The sequence below is a fragment of the Homo sapiens genome, chromosome Y (genome assembly GCF_000001405.40).
Source record: "Homo sapiens chromosome Y, GRCh38.p14 Primary Assembly".
NCBI lineage: Eukaryota > Metazoa > Chordata > Mammalia > Primates > Hominidae > Homo > Homo sapiens.
Window position 1 is genome coordinate 18,821,097 of NC_000024.10, and position 27,065 is coordinate 18,848,161.

A 27,065-nucleotide genomic window follows, 5' to 3' on the forward strand; every position below is an offset into this window, starting at 1 on the left:
TTTTATTCTCTTCTTCACTGCCCTGATTTCCTTATCACACATGTATAAAAAACTCCATATTTTATGATCCACAACAAAAAAAAACTGTCTCTTTTGGTACTGACCTTTTTCTCTGCTTTAATTTGCACAGAGAATTTCTATTAGCTATTTCCTTTCCATCAGTTCTTATTCTGCCTCAAGTTTTATCCCACAACAGTGAAGTCATAGTCCTTTCTCAAAGGTCATCAGTGACACCCTAATTGCTAAATTTAAAATTTTACCTTGAATTTCAGGTGAATATTTTTACCATTGATATTACACTCTCATTTGAAAATTCTACTTACCTTTACCAGTCAGGCTTTCATCCCCAACAGTCTACCAAATGTACTATATTTAAAATAATTAGCTTCCCTTTTTGCCAAATATAATAGTTTGTTTTTTAAATTTCTTGTCTTTGTTGTTTGTGTGTTTATTGAGACATGGTCTGCCTCTGTTCTCCAGGCTGGAGTGCAGTGCTTTATCAAGAACTGACTGCAGCCTCAACCTCCCAGGCTCAAGCGATCTTTCCACTGCAGCCTCCAGGGTGACTGTGACTACAGGCCACCCAGACTAGCTAATTTTGGTAGAAACACGGCCTCTCCTTGTATCCCAGGCTGGTCTTGATTCCTGGGATCAAGCCGTCTGCCTGCCTCAGGCTCCCAAAGTGCTGCCATTGGAGGTGTGAGCCACCAGTCCTGGCCAAATGTAACAACTATTTCTTAGTTTGTCTCTTCTTTGAACTATTCCTAGTGAGTTTACTCTCAATCTCCCAGTTATCTCTTCAGTACCATGGATTTCTAAATGGTACTGAGTCCCAGATTGTTATCTCCAGCCAGTCTCTTACTAAAGCCCAAATCATGGATGACTCTAATGCACATACTCATGTTTAACAGACAATTTGATCTCAAGGCTACACACTGAATTCTGATGCTCCTGCCAAAAAACTTTCCCCAGGTGTTTCCCATTTCACCTGATAGTAATTACATCCCGCTGCAAAGGCCTAAAACTGTAAGGTCAACAGTGATGCTTTTCTTTACATCTCATCATTTCTATTAATCCCCAAATTCTGCATGTTTTCCTTTTAAAACGGGTCCCGAATCTCACCACTTTTCCCTGTTTCTCCTGCTGTCACCCAGATACAGGTCATCCACATTTCCCATCTGATTAACTCAGCCTCTTTAGTGATCTCCTATCTTCCACTATTACAACTATTACACTATTACAACTATGTGAGTTATAGCTCAGATACTATAAAATTAGCCATTGTAAAGTACAAATTCAGTGATTTTCACGATATTCTCAACGTTATGCAACCATCACTATTTGTCCTTACCTTAAAAAGTAAATCTACCTATTAGCATTCAATCCCAGCTTCCCTTTGTCCTAAGATAAAACCATGGTCTTTATAATGTAATAAACCACTGCATATTATTTTCTTCTTCTTATATTTTGCTTATCTTCTTCTACCGTCCTCTTTCTTGTTCTGAGCCTCAGTGTAGGCTACAACTTCAGAGGTTTTGCACTCCTTGTTGTTTCAATAAGTTTGCTCAGATCTCCTTTGAGCTTATACTATTTACCTGCTTATAAATGAACCCACCAACCTTATCTTTATTACTTAAAAATAAAATCACTAGCTGTTGTCACTACTTTTCACTAAAGCCAAAATGTAAATTCCATCAGAACATGGATTTTTGTCTTTTGTCAGGTGAACTGGCATAAACAATACTTGATATATTTGCACTTAAATTTATCTATCTATCTATCTATCTATCTATCTATCTATCTATCTATCTATCTATTTATGGCCCGGGGGTGGAGTGTGATTAAATCTTGCTCTGTTGCTCAAGCTGGAGTGACAGGATCTCAGTTCACTGCCACCTCTGCCTCTTGGGTTCAAGCAATTCTGCTGTGTCAGCCTCCTGAGTAGCTGGGAACTCAGGGGCCTCCCAGACCAACTGGCAGTTTTTTTGTTTGTTTGTTTGTTTTTGACATTTTTAATGCAGACGGGGTTTCTCCATGTTGGCCAGGCTGATGTCAAACTCCTGGCCTCAGGTCGTCCACCCGCCTTGGCCCCCCACACTTAATTGTTTTGATTGAACGTGTGAGTAATCATGCCTGGCATGACCTTTATTCTAAAAGGTTCAAAGACATAATATCTGCAACACGACTTATTATTTGGTCTTCTTATTAAACTGTGGAGACTGAAGCAATAAAAAGTTACATAATTTGTCTAAATTATTTATCCTGCTGGTTTTATTGTCAAACTAGATAATTCTGTCTGCTTCTATTTATGTATAACAAGGATTAAAAGGTACATTAAATTCTTCAGGTGTATGCTCCACAATTTATAATTTAAAACGGATATTGCCAACTTCTTTCTAGATTCTGAGTTTCGCCTTCTTATATAAAATGGTTTAACATTTAGGGGCATATTTCTAGGCATTATTTATAAGTAAACCATCATCCACCTACATGGCCATTTCCCCCAGTTTTGCTGTGTAGACTGGAGAAAGCATTCTTTCTTATTCAATTCCAATTTTGAGTTTAGCTCACATTGTTTTTTCAGTTGTTCACTTCTCTGCCACTTTATGTGACTGAGGCCCATTCAATACTTTTGTCTCGTGTTTAACTTGCATCTACATTCCTGCTAAGGCTCGTAGTGCTCAAAACTTTGACCAAGCTTTCAACAGTTTTTTAATTGAGAGATAACTCACAAACTATCACATTAGCCATTTTAAAGTACATACTCTGTTTTTTTTCAGGGTATTCACAAAGGTGTGCAAACATCACCACTTTTTAAATACAGAAGATTTCCATCATCAAAAAAATGAAAACACCTCTGCACCCATTACCATTAACTCCCAGCTTCCCCGTTTCCTAGAGCCCTTGGTATCCAATAAGCCGTTTTCTGTCACTATGGATTTGCCTATTACAGACACTTCATATAAATGGATTCATACAGTATGAGGCTGTTTGTGACTTACAGCCTTCTGTTGCAGATTATCCTCAAGGGGCTATGTATAAGAAACACCCATGAAAGGTAAAGACAATGCCTCCTTCTAAGGCAGAGTTTCCTTTCTTTACAATGCTGGGGTCTCCTAAGCTTGAGATTTCTGCAACAGGCTTGCTATTCTTTCCTGTTATTAAGCCAGGCATACTGAGGCAAAAAAGTTTCAGTATTTTGTCTAAATTCTTTATCTTGGTGGTTTCATTATAGAATATATGGATTTGCATCAATCATATCAGATATATGGTAGGTGAACGTATGATGCCAATGCACGGCAAGGGTAGCATCGGCCTAGGTCTACCTCCACATTAGGAGTTGATGGAAACATTTATATCGTGACTAATGCTACTACAAACATTCCTATACAAATTAGCATAAATACACCTTGATTTTTGGAAAATATGCAAATGTACTCAAATTATTTAAGAAACAGACTGTTTTCTAAAGAAGCAACCTCACTTTATATTCCCACTAGCAATTTGGATGTGCTTCCCAATGTTTCCATATATTCACAAACATCTGTCATTTCTTTCTGATTACAGGCCATTCTATTTAATATACATTTATATCTCTCATTGTGGTTTGCTTTTCATTTTCCTCATACCTAGTTTTCTTTTCACATGCTTAGTTCTAGATTTGATGTGACAATAATTAAAAAGATAAAGGAGCTGGGCATGGTAGCGGGCACTTGCAGTCTCAGCTTCTCAGGAGGCTGAGGCAGGACAATTGCTTAAACCCAAATGACTCAGCTATTTCATTACTGGGTATATAGCCCCCCTTCAAAAAAAAGTCATTCTATTCTAATAATAGGTGCATGTGTATGTGTGTTACAGCACTAATTACAGTAGCAAAGGCATTGAATTACTCAGATGCCCATCAGTAACAGACTGGATAAAGAAAGCATGGCACATATATACCATGAAATAATATGCAGCCAATAAAAGAAGGAGATCATGTTCTCTGAAGGGAGATGGGTGAAGCTGGAAGCCATCATCCTCAGCAAACTAACACAGAAATTAAAAACAAAAACAAGCAGTACATGTTCACAATCAACAATGTTCACATTGAACATTAAAGACACATAGACACAGGAAGAGGAGCAGCATTTAAAAATAAAAAGCTTTCTTTCTGCAGAGGTGAGGTTATAGTAACTTTGAAATGTGTGCTGCGCTTTATTTAAGACATTTTTGTAATTGCAGTTCAGAGTTGCCACAAACTGCATTGAAAAGTAAATAAGCAGTATATCTCAATTCTTAATTGATTTAATTTATTTTCTTTTATTTTTATAAAGGAATCTCACATTGTGTCTTTGGCTGGAGTATAGCAGTGCAATCTTGGCACACTGCAACCCCCTGCTTCCCAGTTTCAAGTGATTATTCTGCCTCAGCTTCTTGATTAGCTGAAATTAAAGGTGAGCACCACCACACCTGATGGGATTTGACCATATTGGCCAGGCCTGTCTCAAGCTCTTGGCTTCAAGTATGCTCCCTGCCTTCGCCTCCAAAAGTGCTGAAATTACAGGTATGAGTCACCATGCCTTGTCCTTGATTGAATTTCTAATTGAGAAAACATCCATCTTGCAAAAACTTATTTTTATATCATCTTTTTGATGACTTTGTTTATATGTCTCATAATTCAAGAAAAATAACGTAATTTTAATGCATTTTCTTTTTTTGAAAATAAATTTACTTCCATTAATGTGTAATTAAAAGAGTAGGTTAATTTAGAATGTTATTTTTCTTTTGGGTAAAACTCTCAAGTTTTAGAAATTTCTTCAAAAATCTAATTTTGGAAATGAATTACATTTATTGATTGTCCTCGGTTTTTTTTAAATGATTTTTCTTTGGAACACAATCCAAAATTGTTTCAAGATATAATGAGATGTTTATGTCAAATAAACATAAAAGTATTTTCTTGAAAAGACATATTTTTCTTAACATATGTTTTCTACTAATAACATGTGATTTCTTTTTCTAACTTACTAGGAATTAATTGATGTTGTTCTCTTCCCTGCATCAAGTTTAACTGTAGTATTTAAGAAGTAAAGAACTGCCAGCAGAGCCAGCTCTTCCAGTCTGTAGCTCTACCATTGCCATCAATCCTGGTTTTGATCTACTTGTGGCACTAGCTATGGGCTGTGGAAAGAACCTCAGAAAGATAGTAGACTGATTGAATGCAATATATTACATAGACAAAGCAGTAACTAGTGAGTTTTTAAATTATAAAGCTGTTTTTCTTCATTAATAATAGTTTACTTTGAAAGTAATTCAATGAAACCCACTTTCATAATACGAGAAGAGAACTTTGGGGTGCATTGTATTACTTCTAAATATCCACGTCAGTACAGCAAAGTAAGTAGCAATGTTCAAATCTTACATGGAACTGAAACTCAGGGTGGGAGGTAATATAAGTAAATTAACAAATGATAACAAAATTTAGTTTATTTCAAGAGAAAACTGAGGTTTTAGAATACAATTAACAACAGCATTCTGTACATAACTTTAATTGATAAATGTGAAATTATATTTATGTTTTTCTCTGTGTGAGCATATTTTCTAGCACATTGTAGGAGTTTTGTACTAAACTCACTGCTTAAAAGATCAGATCTTTATTTGTCTTGTGGCAACCATGTAGAGAGAAGAGTTTTCTTTTTAAAAACACTTTGTATGTTAATTTATTTAACAATTGAATTGACATAGTTATATGTATATTCAAAAGAGGTTTTTTTAAACAAATACTTTCCTTTTTAAACAAACAGATGTTATGTCATTAAAATATGGACCTAAAGGGTCTGAAGTTAAAAATCTATAATAGTCACTTGATTTGTTGTTAATATAAAAATCTAAAGTACTCTTTCAAAACGGCAGTGTTGATAAATGAGTTGTTGTTAATATTAATTTGTCACTTGACGGAAAGAAGAGTAGGCAGAGTTATTATTTTCATAGTACAAGCACTATTTTTTCTTGTTATCTCAGGTTGTGAAGCACTTTTTCAGGGGGAATATCTGCACTCTGTTAGATCTCACCCACCAGAAATATTTGTGGGACTCAAACTGCTGGTGCCACCTATCACATGAATTTTGTGATCCAGCAGCTATACACACACACACACACACACACACACACACACACACACACACACACACACATATATATATATATATATATATATATATATATATATATTCCACTGGAAGCAGTGTTCTCGCAATTGAATGCATAGGTAAAAATATAGACAATGATTTTTTGAAGATGAGAAGCAGAACGGTGAGGTAAATTCTAATTATTAATTTCTGTTACTGTGTTTGAAGATTCTGATAGCAGCTACTCTTTTGTCTCTGAAATTATTGTGCTTTAAAATAATCATGTAGGAAGTATGTTTTCATAATATAGCTAAAATCTCTGAGATACTATAACTGACATATTTATATTATTTGCATTTCAGAAGCTGTGCTTATTTTTAAAATTCTCTCTATATTTTTCCCAAATGAAAGCTTTTTCTGCTAAAGAAACAAATTTGTTCTTCATATTATGCTATGTGAATTTGTAAAAAATATTAGTTAAGAATTATGATCACACTGCCTATGAAAAGTATTCATTTTATAATAAAGCGTAAAGAAGTTAGGTCAGCAGATCACCTATTTAGGATATACCTCCAAATAAGTGAACATGGAATACATAAATTTTGGTAATGTTTATGCTCAAGCCCTTTATTATTATTATTTTACTTTTTGTATAGATATCGACAGAAGGTAAATTTAAAAATCAGTCTAGTTTAACTGTAGTAAATGGTTTTCCTATAATTCTTCATTTTTTCCTTTCAGTGGGCAGAAATAGTTTGTCTTTCAGCTACTAGTGTATCAACACTTATCATTTATGGAAATTACAAAACACACACTTTCTTTTTTTTTTTGAGACGGAGTCTCGCTCTGTCGCCCAGGCTGGAGTGCAGTGGCGGGATCTCGGCTCACTGCAAGCTCCGCCTCCCGGGTTCACGCCATTCTCCTGCCTCAGCCTCCCAAGTAGCTGGGACTACAGGCGCCCGCCACTACGCCCGGCTAATTTTTTGTATTTTTAGTAGAGACGGGGTTTCACCGTTTTAGCCGGGATGGTCTCGATCTCCTGACCTCGTGATCCGCCCGCCTCGGCCTCCCAAAGTGCTGGGATTACAGGCGGGAGCCACCGCGCCCGGCCCACACACTTTCTTTCTCTTTCCTAGACGCAGTAAATTGTATCATCCATGCATCGCAGTCAGGGTAGCTTTACTTTTAGCAGAATCTTCATATAGGATATTCACCAATACTTGGTTAACAGCCACTATTGGAAGAAAAATTGGAATGTAAGTTCTGGTACCATAGTCCGTGTTACCCCTAGGGTGTTGAATTTAACACATATAGAGATGGCTACTCACAACAGCAAGAAGCAATAGAAACAGAATATAAAATTTCAAATTACATATCTTACCTTTGTACTTGGTTGCTTGTGATTTATGTTGTCTCAGCACTGTACTGTGGCATGTATATCTGCCTTTTTCCTTTTTCTATGCAATGAGCTTCTCCAGGGCAGGAACTGGGCATTGTTTATTTCTTCATCACAAACCTAAGACACAATGAAAAGCATACAGAAACCTCTCAGACACTTGTAAACCAACTGTATTTTGCTCTATGGCTACAATCATGTTTTGATTTTAGAGCTTCTGTCTATGCTCTCATTCCTTCCACAACTACGGTTAATAGGCATATTTATTGAGTCTTAATAATACTGATCTCCTCAAGTAAATAATCTTATGTAATTTGGAAAATGCATTATTCTCAAAAAAGATACTGAATCCATCTTACAAACCCTATGTAACGTATTCCCCCAAAGTAGAAGAGGACTCATTTGTCTTCACTCCTGCATACTTGACAAAATTTTACTATTTTATATTACCTGCAGTGTATGTTATTTCTTTGCTACTCTTTTATGATAACTTCTCCGTGAACCCAGTTATAACAGTTCATGTTTCAAATAAGCAATAATAGTAAAAAATAAAAAGTAAATAAAGTGCTTTTAAAATTAAGAGTATAAAAATGTATTTCATTTTATTCAGTAACTTTTGGTATTTGTTTCAACTTTTTTCCTTATATTTATAAAGTTAAACTAGTGCATTACTGATTTTTTTTTTTTTTTTTTGGTCTTTAATGTTGATCCCCAAGATAATTTACTAGAATATTTTTATTAATTTGAAGACAAACCAGAGTTAAGTAAGACAGGAGATAGAAAATCGTACAATATTAATGTCCTAGGACACCTTCAAGACATCTTTGTTCATTTAGCCGTTTTCAAACTGCAATCCTATGTACCCAGAGAGTTTTGGCAACAGTTAAGAGAAATTTTAGGTGAGTGCTTATTTCAGTTGTATAAAAACCTCAATACATTAACTAAACATTAGTCAGAAAAAAGCCTTCATTTAAAGGACAAGTATTAAGTGAAACTAGCCAAAAAATATAAAGGACAAGGATTGCATGTTTTTATTCATATCTCAGAAATAACAAATTTCATCTCATGGAGGTAGAGAATAGCATGACATATTATTACAGGCTGTGAAAGACATTGAGCAAACAAATAAGTGAGCTAGTTAATGTGTAAAAAATAAAGTTAGAAGGAATAGGTCCTAAAGTTTGATTGTATAGAAGGGAGACTATAGGTATGAATAACTTATTACAGATTTCAAAATAACTAGAAGTTTAGATTTGGAAAGTTCTTGAAACAAATATGTCATATATGTCTGAAATGACTAATATACCAATTACCAATAAGCCATTTAAAAATTTGCTCATTGCTCATTGTGTGCATGTATCAAAATAATAGTTCTACTTTGTAAATAGGTAAAATTATAATGCATCAATTTAAAGAAACAATAAATAATGGTCTATTTAAATAAGAAATTTCACTAAAGCTGTCCACTTCTGAATTGTAAAAAGCTCTTTCTCTCCACACGTTGGGGCTTTGTGATCCAAATTCTGATTTTAGAAGTACTGGCACATGTTCTTGGGCAGACTAAGGTGATGAGAGAAAACCCACACATGCCCCTCTTCAGCATTAGCTGGAAATTGTGGTCCAGGGCACTCCTGGATGCCATGAAATAATACGTGCCATTGGAAAGATAATTACTAGCTTGCCTTGCCTGCTTCTTTGACTGAAGACCATAAAATAATTATAAAACTTGCAACACCTATAACGTGTTGGGCAAAGTAAGGAAACAGTCTAATGAGGAAGTGCTCAGAACACTTCCAAGATAACATAAAAAATGGCTTTATAGGAGAAAAACGTTACCAGGGAAGTGCAAGGAGTTGCTCATCCTGTTCAAGAGCAGGTAGTAGGGAATTTTCTAGCATGTAGTCTGGAACCACCTCAGGAATTACTGGATCCCACTGTCACATGGGCAATGCCCTTTGAAGAGCTCCCTATTGACAACAACAACCTGCTTGGTTGATGAATGGCCGTTTCAAGGTGGATGAACAATGTCCTGTTGGCAGGCTTTCACAGAGACCAGAAATAAAAAGACCAATTGAAGATGGAATGAGCAAATTACCTCAATGATTGAACTGCATGCTGTTTTTTTTCTTTTTAAATAAAGGATTAAAAACATTAAACCATGATTTATAAAGGCAATTGTTTGAATTCATGAGTAGTAAATAGTAATCAACGTCCTGGCCATGTGAACAATAGAAAACTGGACTTTCAAACAGAAGCCTGTATGTGACACATGGACTTTCAATGGGCTGAGTCACATCCTGGCATCTTCTTAATAGTACAAATTTAAGGGGTACATTAAAAAAGGACATGTTGGTTCCCATTTGAAGAATCCTCTCCAGGATGATTGGAAGGTGATTAGAACCAGGACATCATGATGTATTCACTTGAGATGGCAACCTTATAGAGGTGCAGCAGTAAAGCAGGAATAGAATTAATCTACACTTATTTCTTTTGTACTCTTTAAGGAACAGAAATTCCCAAATCTAAGTCTAGGCCTGGAGAGAAATGTAGACTGCAAATAACAATAGGCCAAATAGGAAGGCCCATGACATAGTTGGATTACAATGTACCAATATCAGTAGCCCTGATAGTGTATTTATAGGTCTTGACTAATGTAGACTGCATTTGGCATTCATAATGTTCAATGCTAATGTTTACATACTATAAAAAGATAAAAACATAGTATATTCTAACCAGTTCAAACAAACGAATTGCTGTTCCTCACACTGTGCAACACACTTCATATCCTATTGTTTCCAACAATGGGCATAGAGATATTATATTGAATGAAAAAAATTGTATGAATTATTTAAAATCGGAAGGAGCTTATATCTTCAGTAAACCCTACCTCTAACAACAAACACTTTAAAATAACATAGAAATAAACTACGAGCCTTACTGCTTTCAAGGAAAATTGTGACTGGGTAGCAAAGCAGTCAGAAATCTTGGCACACTGGTAATTCAAAATACTGTGGATTCTGATAATATGCACTTCACTGGAATTAGATGAAGCCATGTTTTAAAAGCATCACAAGCATCACTTAGTAAATTCTATCACAAAAGTGCCCCAGTCCAAAAAAAAAAAAAAAAATACAGTCTACCATGCTCCACACATTGTGACATATGAAAAGTGTTCATGTTGGTTTTAATATTTTAGAATTTCTATTAAACATATGGCAATATTCCTTATCTCAACAAGAAATTAAACTATATTAAAGGTGAAGAACGTGTAGAATTATAATCTGCTTGTTTTTTACATTTTTCTGGTTTTAAAAAATAAGGTTTCTGAGCAATAAAGCTGTTACTCTGGGTGATTCCATCCCTTGGCTACATGAACTTGGTGAGAAGTCATGCTAAATGTTACAGCACAAGAAAACCTTTCAAATGATTAACTTAGCCAGGTGCCATGGCTCACCACCTGTAATACCAGCACTTTGAGAGTCCAAGGCAGGTGGATCACGAGGTCAGGAGATCCAGACCACCCTGGCTGACAAGGGGAAACCCTGTCTCTACCAAAAATACAAAATTAGCCACACGTGGTTGTGCATGCCTGTAATCCTAGCTACTTGGGAGGCTGAGGCAGGAGAACCGCTTGAACTCATGGGGTGGAAGTTGTAGTGAGCCAAGATCGCAAACATTGCAGTACAGCCCATGCAACAAGAGTGAAACTGCATCAGAAAAAAAGAAGGAAAGGAAGAAAGGAAGAAAGAAAGTAAGAAAGAAAGAAAGAAAGAAAGAAAAGAAAGAAAGAAGAGAGAGAGAATGAGGAAAAGAAAAGAAAAAGAAAAGAAAGAAAGAAGAAAGGAAGGAAAAGAAGGAAAGAAAGAAAGGAAAAGAAAGAAAGAAAGAGAGAAAGAAAGGAAGAAACAAAGAAAGACAGAAAGAAAGAGAAAAGTGCATTACTCACGTCGTGTCTAGTCTTCCCATAATATTTTAATAAAAATATTTGTTTTAACTTAGAAGTGCTCAGAAATGGTTTTTATTTATATTTTTGGTCAGTATTTGTTTTTTGGTAAATTTTGTATGAAAACTCGTAAAATTGTTAATTTTTACTGTCACTGGATTTTGAGAGAGATTAAATAAATTACTTTATGATCTTATTGAAATATGACACATTTTTATGAACTAGGACAAGGTAGTACCTAATTACAAACAAAATATCAAAAGGGTAAAATAAAACATGACCCCACTTGAAGCATTCTTCTTCTGATCATCTTGCCAAAGCTGCCCTAGATAATGTTTTTCTTAATTTACAGTCACAGCTGATACGTTACAAAATATGTAAGAAAATAATAATTGAAAACCACGTAAGTAAAGATGAAAATGAGTTCAAAAAAGAAAAATAAAAACTTTATTTATTTACCTATTGATACATAAAGCCTGTTGGATGAGGATATAATGGAGCATATTCTGTTGGAGAGGACTTATGCTCATCTAAGGCATCTTTGTCATCTGGCTTCAAATTCTAAATATTTAAAAAGACTGATTTATTTGATTATAAAAGTAACTTTGTACCTTATATTTAATTTTCTTCATTTAGAATAAACGTTAAGAAGTGCAAAAAAGCTGGCATCTTTAATATGTTTGCAATGCCTGCAAATGATTTGTAATACAGGGAAAAATATGAATTATTTTAGCTACATAATTTCTAGACCATTTCACACAAGTCATTTCCAAAAGGAAATACTTTCTAAGACCAAACAAACCAATGCTAACCATTTAATAAAATAAATATTTTTAAGGGCAATATTAATACATAAACATTGGCTTACACATTTAAAAATTATTTCTCTTTTTCCCAGATTTATCTGCTGCCCTTTGGGGCTTCCCCCTGCCCACTCATCCAAAGTTTGAAAGCTTTTGTAAGTGTCATCCTAGCACTATTTGATCTTTCTAAGAAATAAACATTTGATGTTTTATTTTTGTGTACTGGAGGAGACCATTTTTTAGACACATGGAATTGTTTCCAGTATATGGTCTTCTTTCAAGTTTCTATATCCACTAAACGAGTCAATTTTCTTTCTTTCCTTTCCTTTCCTTTCCTTTCCTTTCCTTTCCTTTCCTTTCCTTTCCTTTCCTTTTCTTTTTCCACGTGAAAGTGCAAACACAGTCATTACTTCCACAAATTATGCAGTTGAGTTTCCCACACTTGGGGAAATCGTAGGAGTCAGCACATCCAGAATGCAATAGATCAGCCTTGCCCTGGGAAAGCCACCTTCATGATCACAGTATCTCCCCTGGCAGAGAAGTATCCATTTTCTTTTTAAGACTTCCATTATCCTTTGAAAGAAAATACAACTATAAATATAATAGAATTTAGAATAATTTTCAGTATGATTTCAATCATCCATGATTATCATCTTCTAAAAAAAACTTCTTGATTCTGACACAGGCTTCTACAAAATTGTAAGAAAAAATGCTATGGTAAACAATGAAACAGCTGCTAAATAAAGCTACCATACATTTTATGCACTGATATGCTCATTTCTGATAGTGACTCTCAGAGCGTTCTGTTATATCTAACAGCCATCATCGGTCTTCTGGAATTTTATTGTGCTCACTATGAGCTTTAAAAGTAAACAGATGAAAAGAATTTGTAATATCAAGTAGTAGCTAATATTTTATTGCCTAATATATGTCATTCAGAACAAGTTTTTGAGGTAAACTAATTAATATCAGAGTTAGTTTCCTAAGCAGGTAGCATTAGTAAATCCATTTAACAAATAAAAAAACTAATTACATTTAGGAGAAATACTTTGCAAAATACTACAGATTTAGCCAGTTGAGGAGCTAGCTAGCAATCTGACTCAAACATCTGACCTCTTGGCATATTACCAGTTTAAAACGTTTTGGCTAAATATGCTATCTATGCATTACTACAAGTGAATTAAAAACAGCAATGCTATATTACTTTTTATAGTTCTATTTTTTATTCAGATTATGCTCTGTGGCCCAGGCTGGACTGCAGTGGCATGATGATAGCACATAGCTCAATCAGTCCTCACACTCCAGGGTTCAAGTAATATACTCCTGCCTCATCCTTCCAACTACTTGGGATTACAGAAATGAACCACCATATCCAAATCTCCTCATTATTTTCACTAAAGATCATTAGACTTTTAAGACTACCTTTAAAAAAAATAAAAAACTTACTTGATATTCACTAATTGTTCAGAGACAACATTTTAGAATGTAAAGCAAGAATCCCAAGATTATAAAACAGGGATATAAATTGGCAGTACAGAATAGATTTCAATTCTAATAGTATAAGAGCACACTCATGATAGGTAAAGCAACTTACAATGGCAATAATAAAAGTTGCCCGATTTGCTAATGATCAGTCATTTTGTTTCAGGGCTAGCTAATTTACAACATATTTACACTGCCAACTGTCTGCTATTCTTAGGAGTCCAATCTAAAATTGCAAAAAAAATATGACTTCTGTCTTTTTTGTCATTACCAGGACAGATGAATAAAATTGTTTTTTCTTCTCTCTGCCATGTATCTTACTTTATATAATAAGAATATATTCCAAGTCAAAGACCAGGCTTTTTGTTTTTGCCATGGGAGCATTTATAATATAAATTTCTTTTGAAAAAGGTGATTTTTGTAATCTAATTATTTCAGTAAAGAATAACATGGATAGGCTTCTTGTAACACTTACAGTACACATTTAATTATCTCATTCTCTTAAAAATTATAATAAAGTGAAAATCATTTCATCTGCCACATTATCAATAGTATCAAATGTTTTCATGTGCAATTTGGATTAATATTATCTTTGCCTATATTTTTATCTGCCACCTTGAACAGTGGTTGGTACATAGCACTTGTTGATATATATCTGTTGAATACCACTTATTGAATAGACTAAATATTCGTCACACAGTACATTTCAAGCTAATCTTAATAAGGAGAATAATAAATTCCTACATCAAACCCACATTAATCCACAACCACTATTTTACACATTAACCCAACATGGATACCTTTACTGTAATCACTTCCTTGGATGAGATGAGGCTAAGATGTGATTTAGCCTTACTTTAGAGCAAATACAAGAAGTCACACAGTAAACAATATATGACAACAAACTATTTTCAAAATGGTATAAATTAAATCCCATTGATAGGAACTATTAATGTCATTCTACTACATTAATTAATCTGCTTGAAATCTATGATAGTGGACCAAAGAACAATTAGAACATTTTAATTCTTAAATTCTAATATTTTCAGTTCTTTAAAATTTAAGATTATCATTTGCTTTTAATCATTGTGTTCTACAGCTTTATAATAACTTTATTAGGTTTTCAGTGTGCTTATTATGATGTCTATTCAGTGAAAATTGTGTGTGTTTTTGTGTGTGTGGGCATGTGTGTATAGAGTTTCCAGATATATAATATGATTGTTTCTAGAATCCTATAACAATAAAACTTTGCATTTCCTGGCGGAGTTGTGCAGCTAATTCTGGTGCAATTCTTAGGCTTATTTTAAAGCAAATGACACAACTAAGAATACTGGAAGAATGCTAAGGATCTGTTTTTAGCATAAGCACAGTTTTTTAAAATTATGATTTTTCTCAAAACCAGGCTGGTCAAGACGGTGAAACCCCATCTCTTTTAAACATTAGCCAACTGTGGTGGCAGGCGCTTGTAATCCCAGCTACGCAGGACGCTGACCCAGAGAATTGCTTGAACCCAGGCGGCAGAGGTTTCAGCGAGCCGAGATTGTCCTCCTGCACTCCAGCCCGGGTGACAGAACGAGACTCTCTCCCAAAAAAAAAAAAAAAAAAAAAAAAAAAAGAAAAAGAAAAAAAGAAAAAGAAAAAGAAAAAGAAAGAAATTATTCTTCTTACATACTAATTTAAACTACTTAGAGGCTACGGATTGCTTTTAGATAACTTAATGTTATCTACCATGTTAACATTAACTTTTTTAAAAAAAGTTTCCATTCTAAGACATTCCTTCCAATGACTTTTTTCATTATTACATCTATAGTAACACATGTATCCTTTTAGATGATTCCAAATTCTGGACATATGTATCCAACTCCCCATTACAATTTTTTATTTGGTTTCCCATATGTTTCTAAAATGCAATCCGCTCGAAGAGGTTCTCCTTTTTCTGTCAGTAAATTGCATTACTATTCCTTCAGCTTATCAAATCACATCCGGGGCGTAGGTGTTGTCTCTTTCCTGCTCCACTTCCTCAAATATCCAATTACCGACACCTGACTATACTAACTCATAAAGAGCTCATAAATCTGTCCACACATATGTTCTGCATTGCCGTTTTTGTAATATAGAGCACCCACAAAGTTTTTATACAGATAATTTTGAATACTTCCTTACTGTGGTCTATTGTGAAACTTTCTATGCTATAGCCTGTGAGTTGTTACAAATGTATGCCTTTTGTGATTCTCTAATGGTTTATCAAGTCACAGTGAATATCTCACATAAATGCTAGAAAAGCCAAGTTATGTCAATACTAAGTCTGTACCCACTAACTACTTAGAAAAAAAAATTAACAAAGCAACCCTTTTCTACTGCAAGTGCTTTTTACTCTCCAAATTTAAGACACATACTCCCTACAACAGGCAGCAGAGCCCTCTGTATTTTGTTTGTTTGTTTGTTTATTACAATCCTTTAATATTATCCCACCTGGACTGTTTATTCAGTACTGTATTTTCAAAATCATAATTAGGAGGGATTCAAAATACTTTATCTGAAATTCGAAAAGCTCAAGTAAGCAAGGCTTTTAAAAATAAGGTTGTTATGTAACTCAATTTCTGATGTAATAAAGACTTAATTGAGGGAAGCTATTTAAGTCTTCACCCATAAAGGGAATATTCATTTCTCGTCATAGAAACATTAGTATGTTTCATTCTTGGGTACTTTGGGGGCCTTACAGGGAATGGTACACGATGCGATGCAACTGTGTTGACTCAGTTTTCTCAAATTTTAAAAATTCCTAATACCTAAAACACACTGCCTAAATGCCTTAAGATGTATAAATGTATAATGAACTTCCTCAATTAAAATTAAACTTAGGTTATATTATAAACCAATCATGGGTTTTGTAAAAGCAACTAAAATCTCAAGTTAAATTGTGCAAGACAAAATTTTTGTGAGTTCTTGAGTATGATACTTTTACATTCAAAATAATTATTGTGTTTATGTTTGTATAATATATGCTCCTACTCTACTAAAAGTATCCCAGCATCTCAGAGGTAGTCAGGCAAGGCTGAGGAAAAGAAAGCACAGAGATCGTTAGAGCAGGAAGAGTAAAGGGTAAAATGTATTTCCTCTTGAAGGTAAATATTAATAATACAAATAACACTTTCATTACAGGAATGTGTGACCATAGAAATTAGTTTTGATAGGAAAATATTTGTAATTTAAACAAATTACTTAAAATGATCTGCTAATTGTCTGAGTCATTCATATAAATATGACCTAATATTTATCAATATCACTGAGATATTATCTAGTAATTAAATTTTAAATAGATCCATAAATTAGTAATTTTGAAATGTTGCACTAACATTGAATACAGTACAAATATTTTTGTTGTACGTTTCTGACAATCTATCCATGCCTTTAGGACTACTGTGCAATAGGCTGATGTGAGGAAAATCAGACTACCCTAAGAGACATTTACTTAAACCTGCATTTCTTAATTTATGCTAATAGCAACAAAAATTTTAAGTGAATTATTTATTTACATTATCACCAAATTTCTTTTTCTTTATTTTAACAAAAGCATACATATGCGCTAAGTTTCTCATAGATGTCATTTTTAAACCTGAAAAGCAAAACAACTAATTGGTATCCCCTAAGGATGTGGATACCTTTCCCAAGTTCTAGAAATTCTGATTTAGATAGTGTGGGATATGACCTGGAAGTTAGTACTTTTCAAAAAGCAACATTAAGAGATAACATCGGCTGGGCACAGTGACTCAAGTCTGTAATCACAGCACTTTGGGAGGCCGACATGTGCAGATTACAAGATCAGGAGTTTGAGACCATCTTGGCCAACATGGTGAAACCCCGTCTCTACAAAATACAGATATATATATATACATATATATTTAACCAGGCGTGGTGGCACACCTGTAGTCCCAGCTTCTAGGGAGGCTAAGCCTGTGGAATCACTTGAACACAGGAGGTGGAGGTTGCAGTGAGCCGAGATCTTGTCCCTGCACTCCAGCCTGGACACAGAGCTAGACTCCATCTCCAAAATAAATAAATAAATAAAAGAGAGAGAAAGATAACATCAATCGGGCACAATATCTAATCTTAAAGATTACCAGAAAAATAAAACAAATGCATAAATAACCTAAGAATACATGAAATACATTAAAGTTACACAGATTTGCTATGCATTTTTATATATATATATATATGTATCTATATGTATATATGTATATGGAATATTGCCTGTACTTTAGGACACATTACATGTAATAACTTGATTAAAAAATGATTCTCATTTTATATTTAAAAATAAAAACATCATTGATATAACATGAAAATGTCTTACCTAAACTGGCATACATTACAAACAGGTAAATACATTTCTGTAAATAAAATCCCTATGATCTGAATCTTTTCTTCTAAGGACGTTAGGTACTCCTCTTAGTAACTGATCACTCTTGCTCAAGTTGTTGCATTTCTGTGAAAAAGAAGTATTCATTGGTGTAATAGAATCAAGATTACAAAACAGCTTCTATTTGAATAAAAAGAGTCTCGTTCTTATAAAGAGCAAACATCTAACAAAGAAAATGATTAAATACAATTCCTCTTTGAGAGAGAAAATAAAGAGCTGTGGTAAATTTTATTGTATATTTTTATGCTGCTATAATTAAAACAACAACAACACTTCCACAACTTCAATAGAATAATTTAAACCATTTAGTGATTTATATTATCAGTAATTTTAATTTTCTATTACAGTTTTCTTACTAAAATACCTTTCAATTTAACCAGTAGAAAAGTAAATTTAAGAAAATATAAACTTCAGTGATTTCCTAAATAATTGTGAATATTCAATACACAAAATAATTTAATCTTGTTTTTCAGAGGGCTGAGAAATCACTATTTATTACCATAAAATAATTTTTAAAACTCACAGGTGTTATAATATATGTAAGCATGCATTTGTGTATGGCAAAGACATCAAATAGAATCATATAAATTTTCTGATTTGAATTTGCAGACAACAGAATTTACATCTAAGTATATAATTACTCCAAAAAACAAAACAAAACAAAACTAACAGCTGTGCAATTACCTGACTAGAAAGTGATAGAGCAGGAGCACCTTCATCTTGAACAAATACTGCCACATTAACTTCCAGCTCTCTTTTTAGCCTCATGCATTTCAAGGAAATCACTTCTCTTCTTACTACAAATAATAAGCACATTCCTTTCCCTTCAGGTGCACTAAGATACGGAAGCTAGAAGCAGACATGGGGGACATGCCTGCAACTCTAGAAAGCTGTATGAAAACAGACACACAACACTCTCTGTCAGATAACCACAACAAAGAGACACAGAGGCAGTCCAACCCTCTGATAAGCACTGTGAGACTGAATCACGGAATACTCTTAGTCTGTTAACAGAGTGTGGCTCTGACTTAACCTGGCCAGCCGCCCCTCTCACACTGATTAAAAATAAACCTGTCCCTGTTGACTGTCAAGCTACCCTTCAGGTTTCTCTCCTCTTTCTTTAATCCTTACATTGGTTGCTGATACCCAGGACCGGTATTGGTGGCAGAGGCTCCCTTACATCCCAGGAAGCTGTGGGCAATGGCAGCTTATCCTAAGCAAACTCCTGGATCCTGAGAGTCTCTGGCCACCTGCCCCATCTTTTTGCTCATTTTACTCTTCAAGCGATTTGTGTGAGAAGGACAACTGACCTGAAGGAAACTGCAAGGCTCAGGCCAGGGCTCTAAATCCCTCAAGTCTCAGGAATCCACCCCTAACACTGGCTCCCTCTTTCCTCTCTCTTTCTCTCTCTCTCTCTCTCTCTCTCTCTCTCTCATTCTCTTACTCTCTGTTCCTCATATATCGCTAGTCTGGCAGTCCCTTTGCCAATTCCAACTGGAATATCCAAAAGACAACACTAATTCAGCCATCTGGTAAGATCTGCCTTTTCCTGCCTTTCTCGTGGTACCATAGAAAGTCCAGACTGCTGTCCACTTCCTCAAAGGACCAATGGGATAAGCTCAAGGAAATCGTGGGGACATGAAGTGCTTTCCCAGCATAAGTGTCCTCTTTCAGAAGGAGGATTCCGGGTCTCTGTCTATTGTCTGGGGACATCTAGTACAAAACAGAGCTATCGTAAAATACCTTTATAGCAAATGCAGCTTCCAACAAACATTAATAGTTAAGTATGTGAATGTACAAATTTATCATTCAGTTGTACACATAGGAAAGGTTTAGTATTACTGACATTTACAAGAAAAACAGACAAACAAACAAACTTAACAGGTTTTACATTAACGTAAAAATTGCCAAAAGTATATTATAACATGTATTATAAAAGTATTATAACATGTAACTGAAAGTGCTAAACATAAATTTTCATGCAAGGTGTATAAAAACAGTAAAAAGTTAAAAATTGTAAGAAGACATAAAAATGTACATTTTGATTAAAAATGTAAAAATAGGTTTCGGGAGACACTGAGCTAGCTTGAAGAGTTTTTTTTTTTTTTCATACCCCAGTGGCACCTGAAATGTCAGAAAGAAAGAACCATTCACTCCCTTGAATTGGGTGAAGCCATGGAGCCAAGTGGTCTAGCTCAGTGGATGTCACCCCTATGGAGTCTAGCAAGCTAAAATCCACTGCCTCGAAATTCTTGCTGCCAGCACAGTAGTCTGAAGCCAACCTGGAATGCTTGAGATTGGTGGGGACAGGGATGTCCACCATTACTGAGGCTTGAGTAGGTGGTTTTTCCCTTTACAGTATAAACAAAGCCACTGGGAAGTCACCGCAGCTCAGCAAAGCTGCTGTAGCCAGACTGCCTACCTAGATTCCTCCTCTTTGGTCAGAGCATCTCTGAAAGAATGGCAGCAGCCCCAGTTAGGGGCTTATAGACAAAATTTCCAACTCCCTGAAACAGAGCCCCTGGGGGAAAGGGTGGCTGTAGGTACAGCTTCAGCAGACTTAAACCTTCCTTCCTGCTGGCTCTGAAGAGAGCTGCAGATCTCCAAAAGACTGCCTCCTCAAGTGGGTCCATGAAGCTCATGACTCTTGATGAGGAGACACCTCCCAGCAGGGATTGACAAGCACATCATAGAGGAGTGCTCTGGCTGGCACCTGGCAGGTGCCCTCTGGGATGAAGCTTTCAGAGGAAGGAACAGGCAGCAATCTTTGCTTTTCTGCATCCTCTGATAGTGATACACAGGCAAAAATGGTCAGAAGTGGACTGCCAGCAAAGTCCAGCACACCTGCAGCAGAAGGGCCTGATTGTTAGAAGGAAAACTAACAACAGAAAGGCATAGTATCAACATCTACTAAAAGGATTTCCTCTCTATATAGGAATACACATATATACTACATATTCAAGTTTTATTTTATATATATAAATTTATATATATATAATGTTATATATATATATTGAATATATATATATTCAAAGGTCACCAACATCAAAGAATGAAGGCACATAAATGAACAAAGATGAAAAAAGAAATCGCAAAAAGGCTGAAAATTCCAAAAACGAGAACACCTCTTCTCTTCCAAAGGATCACAACTCCTCGCCAGCAAGAAAACAGAACTGAATAGAGAATGAGTTTGAGGAATTGATGGAAGTAGGTTTCAGAAAGTGGGTAATAACAAACTCTTCCGAGCAAGAAAGAAAGTTCTAACCCAATGCCAGGAAGCTAAAAACCTCAAAAAAAGGTCAGGGGAATTGCTAACTGGAATAAAGAGTTAAAGGAAAAACATAAATAACATGATGGAGATGAAAAACACAGCACAAAGACTGCATGAAGCATACACAAGTATCAATAGCCAAATCGATGAAGTGGAAGAAAGGATATCAAAGACTGAAGATCAATTTAATGCAACGAAGCATGAAGAAAAGGATAGAGAAAAAGGAATAAAAAGGAACAAACAATGTCTCCAAGAAATATGGGACTATTTGAAAAGACTAAACCTACTTTGTTTGTTAGTTTGTTTGAGATGGAGTCTTGCTCTATCGCCCAAGCTGGAGTGCAGGGGAGCGATCTCGGCTCACTGCAACCTCCTCCTCCCAGGTTCAAGGGATTCTCCTGCTTCAGCCTCCTGAGTAGCTGGCATTAAAGGCATGTACCATCATGCCGGGGTAAGTTTTGTAATATTAGGAGAGACAGAGTTTCGCCATATTGCCAAAGCTGGTCTTTGACTCCTGGCCTCAAGTGATCTGCAGACCTCAGACTCTCAAAGTGCTGAGATTAGAGTCATGAGCTACCATGCCCAGCCCAATTTCAACTTGTTTTATAAAATTTCTGTGACATCCTCCACCTTCCCTTCACCCACAAAATGTTAGAATTCCAAAATAGGGGCCTTTGAAGAATCTCCAAGGAACACTTGTCCCAGGGACCCTGAGGAGGTAGCTACTCAGAATTAGATGACAGATTACACTGGGAAATTGAGGACAAGAAGAGAACCTAGGATAGTTTCCAAATGTCTAGCTGAGGGGAACAAACAGAATGTGGCCTCTCTTCTAAGATGCCCTGATCCCAATCTGTAAAACTTGTGAGTATGTTAGGGCTCATGACAAAGACAAATTACGGTTGCTCATCAGTTGACCTTAAGATAGGAAGATTGCCCAGGATGATCCACCTTGATCAATGCCATTAAAATGGCCTTAAAGGTAGAAGATGGAAGCAAAAGAGGAAAGTCAGGAGGAAGTCACAGAAGAATGGAAAAGCAATGTGATATTGATGGCTTTGAAAACAGAGGATGGGGCTATAGCTAAGGAATGCAGGAGGCCCCTAGAAGCTAGAAAGTACAAGGAAACAAATTCTCCTCTAGAGCATCCAAGAGGGACACAGTCCTGAGCACACTTAGATTGTAGCCCAACAAGTACCTGTGTTGCACTCCTGTGCCACAGAAGTGTAAGATGATACACTTGTCTAAGCCACTAAATTTGTAATAATTTGTTACAGTGGCAGTAGGAAACTAAAATAGGCCAAAGCCAGAAAAACCTGTAGATATGAGAGAAAAGGAAGGAAACTCAAGGAAGTGTCAGCAAATGAGTAGAAGGCACATTATCTTAAGAGACTGGGGACAAAGGGAGTTCATCTGCCGGGGGAATGCGTTTCAAAGCACTGTAGATAAGTTGTTGCACAGAGGCAATGAGGCATCAAGGTGAAGATATCTGCAGCAATATGGAAATGAGAGTGTGAGAAAGGGGTGGTTCCTCTCCACTGTGTATCCCCACCACTAATACAGAAATTGGTACACAGCAAGTGTTCAATGCTGGCTGAATGGTACTGGAGGGTAGTGGCATAGCCTGCAGCATAGACAGTGCTGAAATGCAAGAATGACAGACATGGCAAGATTTCAGTGTTAAGTAGACTCAACAGAGCAAAGAGCCTTCTGAAACTTCTCATGCTGATGTCTCAGGGGTTTCAGAGGCTCCATGATGAAGTTTATGTTCAGGTGGTCGACAGCAACTTTGTGAGAAGTTACTGAAGTTTTTTAAGTTACCTATGAAGAAATCCTGCATAACAAGAAACTGGGCTTGCTGGCTGATGAGAGGGAGCCAGGACCCTTATTTGCGACGGAAACAGCAGCTGTCTCTGATAGGTGGGCAACCTGGTCTTTGACAGGGAGAAGTCTAAAGAAATCAACTTGGTGATATGAGGAGATCTCCCAATACCTTAACTTTAAGGAGTCTACATACACTAACTAGTAATCAACATACGCATGGGACCAGACATCAGTGAGTATAGAATCAAAAGGCTAAAAGGCCTCCAGTGAGTGGAAGTATGACACACACACACACACACACACACACACACACTATATATATATATATATATATATATATATATATATATATATATATATATATCTATCTCAGGCTTTGGGGTTGACCGTAACTTAGTCTAGCTAAGCATTTAAATCAATAACTTGAATGAAGACAATTTATCACATTTAAAAATAACACCAAGGGTTTATTTATTAGAATTCACTAGAAGGCAGAAATTAGGATTCAAAATGATCTCTGTGGCTAAGAGAGTGGAATGCAATTAACAAGATAGAAGTTAAGCAAATAGTAAAGAAAGCCCTGTGCTTTGGATTAGAAATCAACTGTACAACAATAGGACAAGGGAAACCTAGATTAAGAACAGTTCACCTACATCAAGAAAAGTGTTAACTTACTGCAAGCTCTATAAGATATAAAAGTCTGAGAGTTTGGTCAAAAAGCTAAGGCAATTCTAGGTGGTATTAAGAGCAAGATCGGGGAGAATGTTCATGCTCTCTTAGGGGAAGAAAGTGAGTTCTGGGAATCATATCATCTTTGTGGAAGAAACTCATTTCTGGAAATCTATCGTAAATTAATCCATAACTCTGACCTGTGTGTGTTATAGGTGAGGGGAGGGCAAGATTTATGCTGGGGAAAGCTCTGGAAAGAAGACAAAAGCAATTGAAGGAACTGAGGATGTTTAAATGGTGCTGAGAAGACCTTTTTGGGGTGGAAGGGGAGCGGGGTATGGCATAGTACTATCTTTAAATACAATAAGCTGCCTAATGGAAAAGGAATTTGGCTTGGAATGGCAAATGAGTTTCTTCTCATGAGTGAAATCTAATCAACTGGTATTGACTGCCATGAACTGGGGTTGAGAAATTTTCTGAGACTAAGTGTGGAAAGAAAAGGGGAAGAATGCTGTGTAGAAAAGAATGTAGGAAAGAATGCTGTGATCATTTATCCTTGTCTCATATGGATTTCAAGAAATACAGTACCTACCTGAGGCTGAACTTGACAGACTTATTCCAAACCGTTACATAGGTCAAGCCCAGGGTTGCTCAGTTGAAGTCACTGAAAACTACAATCTAATGGGTGGCTAGAAGACCACCAGTGGCAGAGTAAGAGCATGCTTAATGAACTTGGAAGTCCCTGCTCTTAGTTTAATTTGCAGGACAATGCACGACAAAACTCATGGACTGTCGTTCCAAACACATCCCTTTTTGTAGCTGGCCTCTGTAGAGACTCTACAGAAGAGCTTCTGGAAAAACTGTTCTTTCCTGCCAACAGCAGTGTTTTCAGTCATCCCATAGACCTGGGGTCCCTGATCTAGCATGGTACATGTCTGTTGCAATAAGGAGGGGCAGTTTGAACACTGTTGATAGGTGTCTAATGTGACAATTTTCTGTTAATATTATAAGCAATTATCCCACCTTTGGGAGAAGTTATGCTAGTTTTTGAAGAGCATTTTATCTAATTGTATTCATATATTCAACTGTGTGATCAAAAGTGGGAGTGCGGTCGGGAGTGAGGGGATCTTCAGACACAATCTTTTTATTTGCTTGTTTGCTGTTGTTGCCCAAGCTAGAGTGCAATGGTGTGATCTCAACTAACTGCAACCTGCACTTCCTCGGATCAAGTGATTCTTCTGCTTCCGACTCCCAGAGAGCTTGGATTACAGATGTTATGCCACCACACCTCGCTAATTTTTTTGTATTTTTAGTGGAAACCGGGTTTCACCATGTTAGCTAGGCTTGCCTGGAACTCCTGACCTCAAGTCATCCTTGAGCCTCCACCTCCCAAAGTGCTGGGATTACAGGTGTGAGCCACCATGCCCAGCCGATTATTATTACTTTTTCTACAGTGGACTGGTGATACTACCTAACAACATTTACAAGCTATCAACCTACTTTTAGAACACTGCTTTCATCATTTCATTATCCCATTCAAAAGCCTGGATGCATCTCAACTACAGGATCATGTACTGGTATTCAAAGCAGACTCTCACATTGGTCATGTCTTTTCTCAGCCCTATTGTTCCACCTCCACTAGAGTTTAGTTGTTTATTGTTTCTTCTTCCCCAAATCCACTTTGACTGTATCCACTTCAGAGCTACTATTATTTCTCTCGTCCTGCCTGGAATGTTCTCCCTGATTCTGCCTGCAACTCCTACCTATTTTTTAAAATCCAACTAAGTCTCTCCTCCTCAATTATTTCCACCAAAAACCTATAGGTTCTCCACTTCCTAAGAAGTCCTGTCACTCATACTGCCTCTCAAAGACTTTAAGTTTCTCACAGCCAGTGATCAAAATTCACTGTACACTTCTTCAATGCTGTGTACAAAGCTGAAACTGATCAAATTTGGTCCTCACAGGACTTAGATACTTTTTCAGGCTTATATTCCCAGCATACAACTCTGGACTCAGGGTAGATTCCTCACTGCCCCCAGAAGGGCCTAGATTTTTGTTTGTTTGTTTGGTTGGTTGGTTTTTATTACTTTATTCATTTTTCCCCATCCCTGCCATGCTATTCTTTTGACCCACCACCCAAATCCTACGCATCAAGACCCTGAAGAGTTTACACTTTTTCCAAGAGATGATCTGAATCCCTTCCATATTCAACCACCTCTCCTTTAAACTCATTACTCAATTTATATATATATATCTTACGTAAGATATATATTCATATATATATATATCTTACGTAAGATATATATTCATATATATATATATATATTTCTTAGCTCTTGCTCAATTATCTGGCTGTAACGTGTTCATTATTGCTTCTGAGAGGTTCGGTTGCTTTTCTTTTTATTTACATGTAAACATTATGAGGTCAGGCTCGCCTTTCCTCACAATACACAATGGTGGCTACTCAAAAACATTTAGCTTTGTGGATCTCTACCCTAAGCCATCTTGCTTCCAAGAGTTCATCTGGCAATGTCTGGGGACACTTTTGGTTGTCTCGCTTGGAAGAGAAGGTACTATTGAAAAAATAGAGACCAAGGATACAGCTGAATCTACAAAGCACAGGACAGCCTCCCAAAACAAAGAATCTGCCGGCTCCAAAAGGCAACAGTGGCTCCATTAAGAAACCCTGGGTCAGCTGAATATTTGGCTGTTAACCACCAAAGCAAAGACCCCAGGAGGGCAGAAACTTGCAGCTGGAAGTTCTCAGTGAGTGGATGAGCCGGCCAGGGCGTGGCAGATCTGATAGGGCTACCCGAGGGAGGGGTGGAGATATAGCACCAGCCTGTACCGTCAGGCAGGGCCAGTGAACTCCCACAGGGATTCAAAATGCCTGTTTCGACTCACTCCATCCTCTACCTGAAGCGACAGGCCAAGGAGGGAAAGACAATCTCAGTCCCGCTGTGAAGACCGGCACCCGGCTGCTTCAGCCGAGAGCCCCGGGGGCAGATTTTTGGATACCCTGGATATGCTCCCTCGAGATAGGGGTGGAGATTCTGGCCGGTGCTAGGCCACCAAATGCATGTGCCATGTATCTTCAGACCAGGAAGACTGTACTAAGTAGGTCCCCAAGAGGGGCAGGATGCAATGCGA

General features: G+C 36.5%; 1 long non-coding RNA gene and 3 pseudogenes across 2 annotated transcripts in view; 1 reads left to right on the forward strand and 3 right to left on the reverse strand.

Moving 5' to 3' along the window:
* LOC124905305 (uncharacterized) overlaps positions 1-15,302 on the reverse strand; it is a 33,859-nt gene extending 18,557 nt beyond the window's left edge. Inside the window, exons 1-5 of one of the 2 annotated variants that reach the window (XR_007068459.1) lie at positions 15,224-15,302; positions 12,660-12,822; positions 11,906-12,007; positions 9,340-9,543; positions 7,489-7,623 (exon numbers count right to left, since the gene is read on the reverse strand). This is a non-coding gene — a long non-coding RNA (uncharacterized LOC124905305). The remainder of the gene's footprint in view (positions 1-7,488; positions 7,624-9,339; positions 9,544-11,905; positions 12,008-12,659; positions 12,823-15,223) is intronic. The other variant, XR_007068458.1, reaches the window with a different exon arrangement.
* On the forward strand, positions 5,011-8,392 carry USP9YP10 (USP9Y pseudogene 10; annotated as a pseudogene).
* Positions 11,906-18,217, reverse strand: USP9YP28 (USP9Y pseudogene 28; annotated as a pseudogene).
* On the reverse strand, positions 12,633-12,794 carry RNU1-41P (RNA, U1 small nuclear 41, pseudogene; annotated as a pseudogene).